The sequence below is a fragment of the Homo sapiens genome, chromosome 14, assembly GCF_000001405.40.
Source record: "Homo sapiens chromosome 14, GRCh38.p14 Primary Assembly".
NCBI lineage: Eukaryota > Metazoa > Chordata > Mammalia > Primates > Hominidae > Homo > Homo sapiens.
Window position 1 is genome coordinate 69419466 of NC_000014.9, and position 13803 is coordinate 69433268.

A 13803-nucleotide genomic window follows, 5' to 3' on the forward strand; every position below is an offset into this window, starting at 1 on the left:
ATGTATATTCTGTTGATTTGGGGTGGAGAGTTCTGTAGATGTCTATTAGGTTGGCTTTGTGCAGAGTTGAGTTCAAGTCCTGGATATCCTTGTTAACCTTCTGTCTTGTTGATCTGTCTAATATTGACAGTGGGGTGTTAAAACCTCCCATTATTATTGTGTGGAAGTCTCAGTCTCTTTGCAGTTCTCTAAGGACTTGCTTTATGAATCCGGGTGCTCCTGTATTGGGTGCATATATGTTTAGGATAGTTAGCTCTTCTTGTTGAATTGATCCCTTTACCATTATATAATGGCCTTGTCTCTTTTGATGTTTGTTGGTTTAAAGTCTGTTTTATCAGAGACTAGGATTGCAACCCCTGCTTTTTTTTGCTTTCCATTTGCTTGGTAGATCTTCCTCCATCCCTTTATTTTGAGCCTATGTGTGTCCCTGCATGAGAGATGGGTCTCCTGAATACAGCACACTGATGGGTCTTAACTCTTTATTCAATTTGCCAGTCTGTGTCTTTTAATTGGGGCATTGAGCCCATTTACATTTAAGATTAATATTGTTATGTGTGAATTTGATCCTGTCATTATGATGTTAGCTGGTTGCTTTGCCCGTTAGTTGGTGCAGTTTCTTCCTAGCATTGATGGTCTTTGCAATTTGTTATGTTTTTGCAGTGGCTGGTACTGGTTGTTCCTTTCCATGTTTAGTGCTTCCTTCAGGAGCTCTTGTAAGGCAAGCCTGGTGGTGACAAAATCTCTCAGCATTTGCTTGTCTATAAAGGATTTTATTTCTCCTTCACTTATTAAGCTTAGTTTGGCTGGATATTAAATTCTGGGTTGAAAATTCTTTTCTTTGAGAATGTTGAATATTGGCCCCCACTCTCTTCTGGCTTGTAGAGTTTCTGCTGAGAGATACGCTGTTAGTCTGATGGGCTTCCTTTTGTGGGTAACCTGACCTTTCTCTCTGGCTGCCCTTAACATTTTTTCTTTCATTTCAACCTTGGTGAATCTGACAATTATGTGTCCTGGGGTTGCTCTTCTCGAGGAGTATCTTTGTGGTATTCTCTGTATTTCCTGAATTTGAATTTTGGCCTGCCTTGCTATGTTGGGGAAGTTCTCCTGGATAATATCCTGAAAAGTGTTTTCCAGCTTGGTTCCATTCTCTCCATCACTTTCAGGTACACCAATCAAACGTAGATTTGGTCTTTTCACATAGTCCCATATTTATTGGAGGGTTTGTTCATTTCTTTTTACTCTTTTTTTCTCTAAACTTCTCACTTCATTTCATTAATTTGATCTTCAATCACTGATACTTTCTTCCACTTGATCGAATCAGCTACTGAAGCTTGTGCATGTGTCACGTAGTTCTCATGCCATGGTTTTCAGCTACATCAGGTCATTTAAGGTCTTCTCTACATTGTTTATTCTCGTTAGCCATGCGTCTAATCTTTTTTCAAGGTTTTAAGCTTCCTTGCGATGGGTTTGAACATCCTCCTTTAGCTTGGAGAAGTTTGTTTTTACTGACCTTCTGAAGCCTACTTCTGTCAACTTGTCAAAGGAATTTCCATCCAGCTTTGATCCATTGCTGGCGAGGAGCTGCAGTCCTTTGGAGGAGAAGAGGTGCTCTGGTTTTTAGAATTTTCAGCTTTTCTGCTCTGGTTTCTCCCTGTATTTGTGGTTTTATCTACCTTTGGTCTTTGATGATGGTCACCTACAGATGGGGTTTTGGTGTGGATGTCCTTTTTGTTGATGTTGATGCTATTCCTTTCTGTTTGTTAACAGTTTTCCTTCTAACAGTCAGGTCCCTCAGCTGCAGGTCTGTTGGAGTTTGCTGGAGGTCCACTCCAGATGCTGTTTGCCTTGGTATCACCAGCAGAGGCTGCAGAACAGCAAACATTGCTGCCTGATCCTTCCTCTGGAAGCTTCGTCTCAGAGGGGCACCTGGCTGTATGAGTTGTCAGTCGGCACCTACCGGGAGGTATCTCCCACTTAGGCTACACAGGAGTCAGAGACCCACTTGAGGAGGCAGTCTGTCTATTCTCAGAGCTCAGACACCATTCTGGGAAAACCACTGCTCTCTTCAGAGCTATCAGTCAGGAACGTTTAAGACTGCAGAAGTTTCTGCTGCCTTTTATTCAGCTATGCCCTGCCCCCAGAGGTGGAGTCTACGGAGGCAGGCAGGCCTCCTTGAGCTGCAGTGGGCTCTACCCAGTTCGAGCTTCCCGGCCATTTTGTTTACCTACTCCAGCCTCAGCAATGGCAGACGCCCCTCCCCCAGTCAGGCTGCCTCCTTGAAGTTGGATCTTGGACTGCTGCGCTAGCAGTGAATAAGGCTCCATGGGTGTGGGACTCGCTAAGCAAGGAGCGGGATATAATCTCCTGGTGTGCCGTTTGTTAAGACTGTTGGAAAAGCGCAGTATTTGGGTGGCAATGTCCCGATTTTCCAGGTACAGTCTGTCATGGCTTCCCTTGGCTAGGAAAGGGAAATCCCCTGACCCCTTGCGCTTCCCTGGGTGAGGTGTCACCCCGCCCTGCTTCAGCTCACCCTCCCTGGGCTGCACTCACTGTCCAACCCGTCCCAGTGAGATGAACCAGGTACCTCAGTTGGAAATGCAGAAATCACCTGTCTTCTGCGTCGATCACACTGGGAGCTGCAGACCGGAATTGTTCCTATTCGGCCATCTTGGAATGGACCGCTTGTTTGCTAACTAACCTCTTAAAAGAAACAAACAGATGAAGTTCATGATGTACCATTAAATTATTGAAACTTTTTCATAAACAACATATATAATTATTCCCTTGTGGTTTTGTTTATTTTCAAAAATGGGGTCTCTTTATGTTGCCCAGGCTTGAGTATAATTCAGTGAGATCATAGCTCACTATAGCCTCACCCTCCCCATATCTGGGACAACAGGTACGTACTACCATGCCTGGCTTCTTGTAGTTTTTTATTATTTTTTATTTTTTTAAAGACAGCTCTTACTATGTTGCCCAGGTGGGAGTGCAGTGATTATAGCAGATGTGATTATAGCACACTATAGCCTTGAACTCCTGGGTTTAAACGATCCTCTGCTTCCACCACCCAAGCAGCTGAGACTACAGGTGCACACCACCGGGCCTGGCTCTCCTTGCCGGTTTTTTTGTTTTGTTTTGAGATGGAATCTTGCTCTGTCACCCAAGCTGGAGTGCAGTGGTGCAATCTCTGCTTACTGCAACCTTCACCTGCTGGGTTCAAGTGATTCTCCTGTCTCAGACTCCCAAGTAGCTGGGATTACAGGCACACACCACCACACCCAGCTAATTTTTGTATTTTTGTAGAGACGGGGTTTCACCATGTTGGCCGGGCTGGTCTCGAACTCCTGACCTCAGGTGATCCACCCACCTAGTTGTAGTTTTTAAGATCATTTTTCATACTTCTAAGATCCCAGTAAGTCATATTAGGGTATACTGCTGCTTCAAGAAACTTTGAAACCTAATCTTTTTGTATGACAAGAGGGAGTCCCTCAAACTTGGCTAAAAAGAAGACAATTAGGATTAAGTTGGATTAAAACCACAGAAGAATTTTAGCATTGATGTCTAAATACATTTTTTTCATCGTATGAGTAATACATGTTTATTGTAGGTAAATTATAAATGTTTTAAAAGTTATGTATTTATATATTGCAAGTTATAAATTTTAAGTAAAAAATTGTTAATGTTTAATATAACTTGTTCTACTTATAAATATTTTTTATAAATATGAGATTATCAATACATATTGATTGCCATCAGCTTTTTCCTCATAGCAGCATATTGTGACTTCCTATATCCATTAACATATTTATTTCTTAATTTTTAATGGCTGAGTGGTGTGGTACTCTGATGAAATTTATAGTTTATTTAGCCAGTCTCCTTTATTGGACATTTATTTTCAGGTTTGCATTAGTAATAAGCACAGTGGTCATCTTTGCACAATTCTTTCTTAGGATGAATTTCTAGAAGTAAAATTTCTGGATCAAAGAGTTCACATTTTTGAGGCTTTAAATCTAAATGCCAAACTGTAGTCTCCAGAGGTTGTAGCAATTCACATTCCTTCCAGTATTAAAGTGTACTCATTCTTCCTATCATGGATAGTAGACATTTTCCCAAATCATTGTTAACCTGGTCATTTAAAAAATTTCATCTCAGTCAGGCACAGTGGCTCACGCTTGTAATCTCAGCACTCTGGGAGACCGAAGCGGGCGGATCACCTGAGGTCAGGAGTTGGAGACCAGCCTGGGCAACATGGTGAAACCCCGTCTCTACTGAAAATACAAAAATTAGCCAGATGTGGTGGTGCACGCCTGTAATCCCAGCTACCCGGGAGGCTGAGGCAGGATAATCGCTGGAACTTGGGAGGCGAAGGCTGCAGTGAGCCGAGACCACGCCACTGCCTCAAGCCTGAGCGACAGAGCAAGATTCTGTCTCAAAAAAAAAAAAAAAAAAATTCATCTCTTTGTTTTACTTGGCATTACTCATGCAATTGATCATTTTTCATCTTCGCTGTCTATTGTAGATGTTGGTCTCACAAATGAGCAGCTCACAGTCTTGATTACAGATACTTGAGAAACTTTTTCCCATTAATTAATCAAAGTTTGCAATTATTTCTTTTGCTTTCTCCCCAGGAACGACTGAAGCTGGTGACTGTTTTGGGTGCTGGCCTTCTCTGTGGAACTGCTCTGGCAGTCATCGTGCCTGAAGGAGTACATGCCCTTTATGAAGATATTCTTGAGGGTGAGAAAGGGAAGAGCATTATTTGAGATATGTTATTGACTTGGAGGGTTAGCAGGATGAAGCTTAGTGGTATGTTTTCTGAGCACAGTTCATGTTTACCATAGAGTTCTACCCTGAGAAGATTTGTTGAGAGATATCTTGATATCTTTGATATTGACACATCCTTAGCAGTTTGTCAACTGAATGTCCCAATTCATGAATACCACTTAATGTTTATTTGCCACAGTGCATGAATGAGTCATTTTAAGTTATGACAGTTCTTTTTTAATGCTTACTCAAACACTTCCCAAATCCCACATGATAGTGGCTGCATTTTTTGTTTAATTTAAAAATATATAGATATAAATATTTAAATTTAAGGACCCTTTACAGTAAACTTTATAGATAATTGATGAGGACCCATGCAGTAAAGGATAACTGAAAAAATTAAAGAGGCCTTTCCTGACCCTAATAGCAACAAGCAGAGGGAACAGTATAGCTGTGTGAGAGTAAATGCTTGGTGGTCAGCTTGGCTTACTCACCAGCAAAGTAATTTGGTCCTTCACACAGCTGAAAAGCATACTTGATTCACATTTGTGACTTAGCAAAATCCGATTACTACATGTCATGAAACTTCACAGTTACCTGTGAAGGATTGACACCACAGCTGTTAAATCCATGAGCTGAATCCTCAAGTACCAAGTCTACCAGATGTTAAGAATAGTATAAAGAGGTAGGCACTTCCAAATTTCTTACTAGATACAATATAATAAATACTTTTTCAGATCTTGGTAGAGGAAAAGAACTGTGTCCTTTATCCAGAATGGTGATGCTCTTAGGCCTGGGGTTTGATAGACAAAGAGTTTTGGCAGATATAAATGAGGATTGCAGAAGTGTTGCAAGATAGGACAGGGGCTGAGGAGTGGTCAGCTGCATTGGGGAACAGTAATAAATCAGGAGCCTTAAAGCAGTGGTCTCTACTTTTTTTATGGTCACACATCCTACAGAGGGAGGGAGGAATGATTTACATGCACTATTGCACTGATTTAATGTGTACATTATAAAATACACTCCTAAAACAGGAATATTTTTGAGACCTGAGATTTAAATATACATAGAACAGTATTTTCTTTCATATTCTAGTGGGTCATCTTGAATTTTTCTGGGATGTGATTCCACTATAGAAATCACTATCCTAACATTTGTCCTTTTATGGGTGGCAGTTGTTTTCTAAAGTTGTCTGATAATGAAAATTCCTTGAGGAAGAGGCACATTTTAAAAGTATGATTTCCTGACCTCCAGGAAGGATCCCGGGAATATCTATTTTTAACAAGCTGTCTGCAATTCTTATGAAACAAGTTTCAGAAACACTGGAGTAGAGGAAAGAAGTGCTTCAAGTATAGTTTCTTTGTGTTATTTTTAATATCAATTTGAGATATAATTTACATACCCTGTTTCAGGTATAGTTGGGGGTTTTGGGTTTTTTTTTTTATTTGTTTGTTTTGAGACATGGTCTCACTCTGTCGCCCAGGCTATAGTCCAGTTTTGCCATCACAGCTGAAATCTCTTGGGTTTAAGCAATCCTCCCACCTCAGCCTCCTGAGTAGCTGGGACTATAGTATAGATGCACACTGCTATGCCTGACTAATGTTTAATTTTTTTTTGTAGAGATAGAGTCTCCTTCTGTTGCCTAGGCTGGTTGCCAATTCCGGGACTCAAGCGATCCTCCCAAGTTGGCCTCCCAAAGTGCTGGGATTACAGGTGTGAGACACCTCACCCAGCCCAGGTGTAGTTTAAGACTAAAATTATCTACCGTGTGTTAGGTTGTGTGTAGAGAAAAACTCTCTCTAACCGTGTTTTTCCTGTGCTCTCACACCACAACAATCATAAACACAGAAGAAAAACTTCTGTAACCAGATGCGTGGCAATATCTCCCCACTACCAAGCAGTGGACACCAGCCAGGTGTCCTCCAATTTAATTCTGACGCTGTCTACCTGGAGGCAGTATCAGATCCCACAGATCTAGGGCTCAGTCCCCAAGACTGCTCCCTCCTTCACCCATCACCAGTCGCAAGCCTGGGCCTCTGGAACTTCTGACCAACTGGCTTCAAGTTGGGGTTCCCACAACCCCCTCTTTGGGTTCAGTCAATTTGCAAGAGTGGGTCACAGAACTCAGAGAAACACTTACATTTACCAGTTTACTAAGAATGATATTTTAAAGGATACAGATAAACAGCCAAACAGCCAGATGAAGAAATACAAAGACTAAGTAAGGTATGGAAGGGTCCTGGGTCCTGGAGCTTCTGACCCTGTGGAGTTGGGGTGCGCCACCCTCCTGGCACATGGATGAATTCTTCACCTTTCTATCAGCCTTCATATATGTTCAGCTAGCCAGAAGTTCCCTGAACCCTGTCCTCTTGGGTTTTTATGGAAGTTTCAAGATGTTAGCATTCCTCCCCCAAGGGTTTAGGATCGTACCCTCTCATGGGAGCTTAAGACCCCAAGTCCTGCCTTGGGGCAGGTGAAAAGAGGGCAGGAGAAGGTCAGAAGCCTGCTGTTGAGGCCTAACACACCCAACAGTATAACAAAAGACTGCAACAAAGGCTATGTAAGTTATGAACCAGGAACTGTGGACAAAAACCAATATATACACATAACGTTTGTGTGTGTGTGTATATGTTTGTAAGTGTATAGTGTATATACTATGTATATATGTGTTTACATATATACACATATGTACACACATACACACACACACATACATAAAATAACACCACAGGTTGCATTCCCTTATTTTCAGTTTTCCTGATTTTTGACCCAAAATAATTTTTTTTTTTTTTTTTTTCAGACAGGGACTCACTCTGTCTCCCACGCTGGAGTGCAGTGGTGTGATCACTGCAGCCTTGACTTCCCCAGGTTCAGGTGACCCTCCTACCTCAGCCTCCCAAGTAGCTGGGACTACAGGCTCATGACACCACACCCAGCTAATTTTCAGATTTTTTTATGGAGACAGGATTTCACCATGTTGCCCAGGCTGGTCTCGAACTCCTGGGCTCAAGTGATCCACCCACCTCAGCCTTCCAAAGTGCTGGGATTACAGGTGTGAGCCACTGTACCCAGCCAGAGTAATTTTGTGGTGTCATTTGAAAACAGATTACAAAGTGCTTTATAAGTCTCTTCTGAAAATAAGCATTCTGGTCTCTTTAACCTTTCATCATAGATTAGTTTCCAGCCCTAAGTCATTTAAATTTTTTAAAAAATATTTTCATTTATATATTTATCATTCACACTTTAGGTGTACACATCTACAAGTTTTGACAAATGCATAGAGAGTGATGTTATCACCACTACAATCAAAATACAGAATAGTTTTGTCACCCTAAAAAGTATGCTTGTGCTGTCCATTTGTAATGTTTTCTCCACTCTCAACCCCTGGCAACCACTGATCTCTGTCTATATAGTTTTGCCTTTTCAGAATGTCATAAATGGAATCATGTAACCTTTGGGTCTGGCTTCTTACTTAGCATAATGCATTTGAGGGTCAGTATATGAAGGGAAAATGTGTATTATGGAAAAACTATGCATGGATTTCAAAAAACTTTTTTGCACTAAAATGAACTTGCGCTAACTTGTTATAACATGTCTGAACAGGATCTACTTAGAGGCACTAAGAAGGTTAAGACAGCAGTTTGAAAAGAGCCCATATTGGAGCAACATGAATTCTGCTAAGATAGAAACAAGAATAAACATCAAATTTATGGGGAAGGTTGGGTGTAAGAATGATAAAATCATTGATGGTTTACAAAAAGTTTATGGGGGCTGGGCATGGTGGCTCACGCCTATAATCCCAGCACTTTGGGAGTCAAGGCGGGTGGATCACAAGGTCAAGAGATCGAGACCATCCTGGCCAATATGGTGAAACCCCATCTCTACTAAAAATACAAAAATTAGCTAGGCGTGCTGGCGCATGTCTGTAATCCCAGCTACTGGGAGACTGAGGTAGGAGAATCGCTTGAACCTGGGAGGCGGAGGTTGCAGTGAGCCGAGATTGTGCCATGCACCCCATCCTGGCGACAGAGCGAGACTCTGTCTCAAAAAAAAAAAAAAAAAGTTTATGGGGACAGTGCCCCAAAGAATTCAGCAGTTTACAAATGGCTAACTTGTTTTAAGAAGGGACAAGATGATGTTGAAAATGAAGCCTGCAGCAGCAGACCATCCACACCTATTTTCAAAGAAAAAATTAATTTTGTTCTTGCCCTAACTAAAGAAGACCAACAATTAACAACACAAAAAATAGCCAACCCCATAGCCCTCTAAATTGGTTCAGCTTACACAATTCTGACTGAAAATTTTACACTGAACAAACTTTCCACTCGATAGATGCCAAAACAGTTGTGCCCAGATCAGCTGCAGACAAGAGCAGAACTTTGAATGGAAATGGGACCCAAGTGGGATCAAGATCCTGGAGGTTTTTTTCAAAGAATTGTAACAGAAGATGAAACATGGCTTTACCAACGATCCTGAAGGCAAACCACATTCAAAGCAATGGCTACTGAGAAGTGGAAGTGGTCAGTCAAAGCAGAAGTGGGTCGGTTAAGAGCAAAGGTCACTGGCAACAGTATTTGGGGATGTGCAAGACATTTTACTTGTTGATTTTCTAGAGTGCCAATGAACCATAACATCTGCGTATTATGAGATGCGTATTATGGTTTTTAAAAAGTTACCCAAAGTTTTAGCAGAAGAATGCCCAGAAATGCTTGATCAGAGTCCTCCACCACGACAATGTTCCTGCTCATTGCTCTCATCAGACAAGGGCAATTTTGCCAGGTTTTCAATAGGAAAGTTTTGGGCATCAGCTTTATAGTCCTGATTTGGCTCCTTCCAACTTCTTTTTGTTTCCTAATCTTAAAATCTATAAAGGGTACCCATTTTTCTTCAGTTAATAATGTAAAAAAGACTGCATTGACATGGTTAAATTTCCAGGACCCTCAGTTATTTAGGGGTGAACTAAATAGCTGGTATCATCATTTACAAAAGTGTCTCACACTTGATAGAGCTTATGTTCAGTAATAATGTTTATATTTTTAAATTTTTTTAATCTTTTAATTCCATTTTTCCACAAGCTTTTTGAAGTCCCCTTATATTCTGTGTATCAATAGTTTGTACCTTTTTTTTTTCTGAGTGGTATTTCATTGTTTGCATGAACCATGTTTGGCTATTCCTTCACCAGTTGGAAGATGTATATATGGGTGGTTCCTGGTTTGGGTGACTATGAATAAAGTCACTATTAATGTACTGGTTGTTGTATGAACATGAGTTTTTATTTTTCTTGCATACTTACAGGTGCCAGCCTGGGCAACATAGTGAAACCCTGTCCTTACAAAAAATTAGCCACGCATGGTGCCTCACACCTGTAGTCCCAGTTACTCGGGAGACTGAAGTGGGGGGATTGCTTGAGCCTGGGAGGCAGAGGTTGCAGTGAGCTGAGATTGTGCCACTGCACTCCAGCTTTGGCATCAGAGCAAGACAAAAGAATACTTGCAAGTAGGATTGCTGGGTCACATGACAAATATATGTTTAATTTCATAAAGAAACTGACAAACTCTTCCTAAAGTGGCTGTAATATTTTGCATTCTCATCAATAATAGATGAGAGTTCCAGTTCTCCCCTTCCTTGTCAACACTTAGTGTTGTCTGTTTTGTTTTAGTTTTTTATTTTAGCCATTCTAATAGCAGCATAGTGATATCTCAGTGTGGTTTTAATTTGCATTTCCCTGTGATGATGCTGAACATCTTTTCATATGCTTAATTGCCATTGTTATAGCTTCTGTGGTGATAGCAAACATTTTGTTCATTTTAAAAATTGAGTTTCCTTATTACTGAGTTTTGAGAGTCCTTTATATATTCTAGATACAAGTCCTTTATCAGATACATGTTCTGCAAACATTTTCTCCTAGTTCATGGCTTATCTTTTCATTCTCTTAACAGTATCTTTTAGAGAGCAGTTTTTAATTCTGATGAAGTCCAATTTATCAGTTACTTCTTTTGAGATTTTGCTTTTGGTGTCATATCTAAAACCCCTTGCTGAGCCCGAATTCACAAAGTTATTCTCTTTTGTTTTCTTCTAGAACTTTTATGATTTTCAGTTCTACATTTAATCCTATGATCTATTTTGAATGCAGGTGAAAGTTCATTTTTTGGCATATGGGTGGATATTCAGTAGTTCTAACACTATTTTTTGAAAAAAAATCCCTTCTCTATTGAATTATCTTTGCACTTTTGTCAAAAATCAATTAACTGTGTTTGTGTTGGTCTATTTCTGGATTCTCTGTTCTGTTTTATTGATCTGTATGTTTACCTTTTACCAGCACTACGTTGTCTTGATGTAGCTTTATAGCAAATCTTGAAATCAAGTAGTGGAGTCCTTCTTTGTTCTTATTTTTCTTTCTTTTTTTTTTTTTTTCTTGAGACAAGGTCTCACTCTGTCACCCAGGCTGGAGTGTGCAGTGGCATGATCATAGCTCACTGTGACCTTGAACTCCTGTGCTCAAACAATCCTCCCACTTCAGCCTCTCCAGCAGCTAGGACTACAGGTGCATGCCACCATGTCTGGCTAATTATTTAAACTGTTTATATAGAGACAGCCTCACTCTGTTGCCCAGGCTGGTCTTGAACTCCTGGGCTCAAGTGACCCTCCTACCTTGGCTGGGGTTATAGGTGTGAGCCACCCCAGCCAGCCCACTTTGTTCTTATTTTTGAAAATTGTTTTGGCTTTCCATAAACTTCTTTGCCTTTCCATAAACATTTTAAAATCAGCTTGTCAAATATCTATGGAATAAATCATGCTGGGATTCTAACCAAGATTAATCTATAAATTTGGGGGAGAATAGACATCTTAAGAATATTGTATTTTCCAACCCATGAGCCCAGTGTATCTCTCCATTTATTTAGATCTTCTTTGATTTATTTCATCAGTGTTGTAATTTTAGCATACAGATCTGCAGATAGTTTATTGATTTATGCCTAAATATTTCATGTTTTTAGTAATTGTAAATAATACTTTTATAATGTTTTCAATTTCTAGTATTCTAGTATATAAAAAGTTCTAATATAAGAAATTTCATTACGTATAGGCACTTTTTTGTAGATTCCTTGGGATTTGCTACGTAAATAATCATGTCGTCTGTGAATAGGGACAGCTTAACCTTTTCCTTTCCTATCTGCCTTTTTTTTTTTTTACCTTCCTTATTGCATTGACTAGACTATCCATTATGAGATTGATTAGGGATGAAAATGAACATTCTTGCCTTACTTTCATTCAGTCTTTCACCATTAAATATGAGGTTAGATATAGGTTTTTTATGGATTCCCTGTTTCTCTTTTTTTTTTTTCAACTTTTATTTTAGATTCAGGGGGTACATGTACAGGTTTGTTACCTGGGTCTATTTCACGATGCTGAGGTTTGGGGTACAAATGATCCCATCACCCAGGCACTGAGCATACCAATAGTTTTTCACCTTTTACTGTCTTCCTTTCCTCCCCTTCTAGTAGTCCCCAGTTTCTATTATTGCCATCTTTATGTCTATGAGTACCTGATGTTTAGTTCCCACTTGTAAGTGAGAACATGTGGTATTTGGTTTTCTGTTCCTGCATTAATTTACTTAGGATAATAGCATCCAGCTTCATCCTCCTTGCTGCAAAGAACATGATTTCATTCTTTATATGGCTGAATGGTATTCCGTGGCGTATATGTACCACATTTTCTTTATCCAGTCCACCGTTGATGGGCAACTAGGTTGATTCCATGTCCTTGCTATCGAGAATAGTGCTGTGATGAACATAAGAGTGCATGGTGTCTTTTTGGTACAGTGATTTGTTTTCTTTTGGATAGATATGCAGTAACGGGATTGCAGGGTTGAATGTTAGCTCTGTTTTAAATTCTTCGAGAAATCTCCAAAACTGCTTTCCACAGTGACTGAACTAATTTACATTCCCATCAACAGTGTATAAGTGTTCCCTTTTCTCCCTAGCCTTGCCAGCATGTTGTTTTTTGACTTTTTAATAATATCCATTCTGATTGGTGTAAGATGATATCTTATTTTGGTTTTGATTTGCATTTCTCTGCCGATTAGTGATTTGGAGTGGTTTTTCATGTTTGTTGGCAGCTTATATGTCTTTTTGAGAAGGGTCTGTTTATGTCTTTTGCCCATTTTTTAATGTGGTTGTCTTTTACTTGTTCCGTTTTTTAAGTTCCTTATAGATTGTGGATACTAAACCTTTGTCAGATGTGTAGTTTGTGAATAATTTCTCCTATTCTGTAGGTTGTCTGTTTATTCTCTTGATAGTTTACTGTGTAGAGGCTGTTTAGTTTTATTAGGTCCTACTTGTCGGTTTTTGTTTTTGTTGCAATTGCTTTTGAGGACTTAGTCATAAATTCTTTCCCAAGGCTGATGTCCAGAGTGGTTTCCTAGGTTTTCTTCTAGGATTCTTATAGTTTGAGGTCTTACATTTAAATCTTTAATCCACCTTGAGTTAGTTTTTGTATTTGGTAAAAGGTAGGGGTCCAGTTTCATTCCCCTGGATATGGTTAGCCAACTATCCCAGCACCATTTATTGACTAGGGAGTCCTCCATGGTCACTTTGTTGAAGATCAGATGGCTGTCAGTATATGGCTTTATTTCTGGGTTCTCTGTTCTGTTCCATTGGTATATGTGTCTGTTTTTCTACCAGGACCACACTGTTTTGGTTACTATAGTCTTATAGTGTAGTTTGAAATCAGGTAATGTGTTGCCTCTGGCTTTGTCCTTTTTGCTTAGGATTGCTTTGGCTATTTGGTCTGTTTTCTGGTTCCATATGAATTTTAGAATAGTTTTTTTTAGTTCTGTAAAAAATGATGTTGGTAGTTTGATATAACATTGAATCTGTAGATTGCTTTGGGCAGTATGGCCATTTTAATGATATAAGGAAGTTCCATTCTGTTCCTAGTGTGCTGAGAGTGTTTATCTTGAATGGTTGTTGAATTTCATCAGGTGCTTTTTTCAGTCTGTTAATGGAGTGAATTGCAGTGATTGATTTTCAAATGTTGAAC

General features: G+C 39.7%; 1 protein-coding gene across 8 annotated transcripts in view; it reads left to right on the plus strand.

The window, feature by feature from the left end:
- SLC39A9 (solute carrier family 39 member 9) overlaps positions 1-13803 on the plus strand; it is a 64007-nt gene that overhangs the window by 21082 nt on the left and 29122 nt on the right. For all 8 annotated transcript variants that reach the window (NM_001252151.2, NM_001252152.2, XM_024449648.2 and 5 more), the window contains exon 2: positions 4629-4737. Coding sequence is in view for 4 of the 8 variants with exons in the window: in NM_018375.5 (NP_060845.2) it covers positions 4629-4737 (109 nt within the window). In the remaining 4 variants the exon portion in view is untranslated. The remainder of the gene's footprint in view (positions 1-4628; positions 4738-13803) is intronic.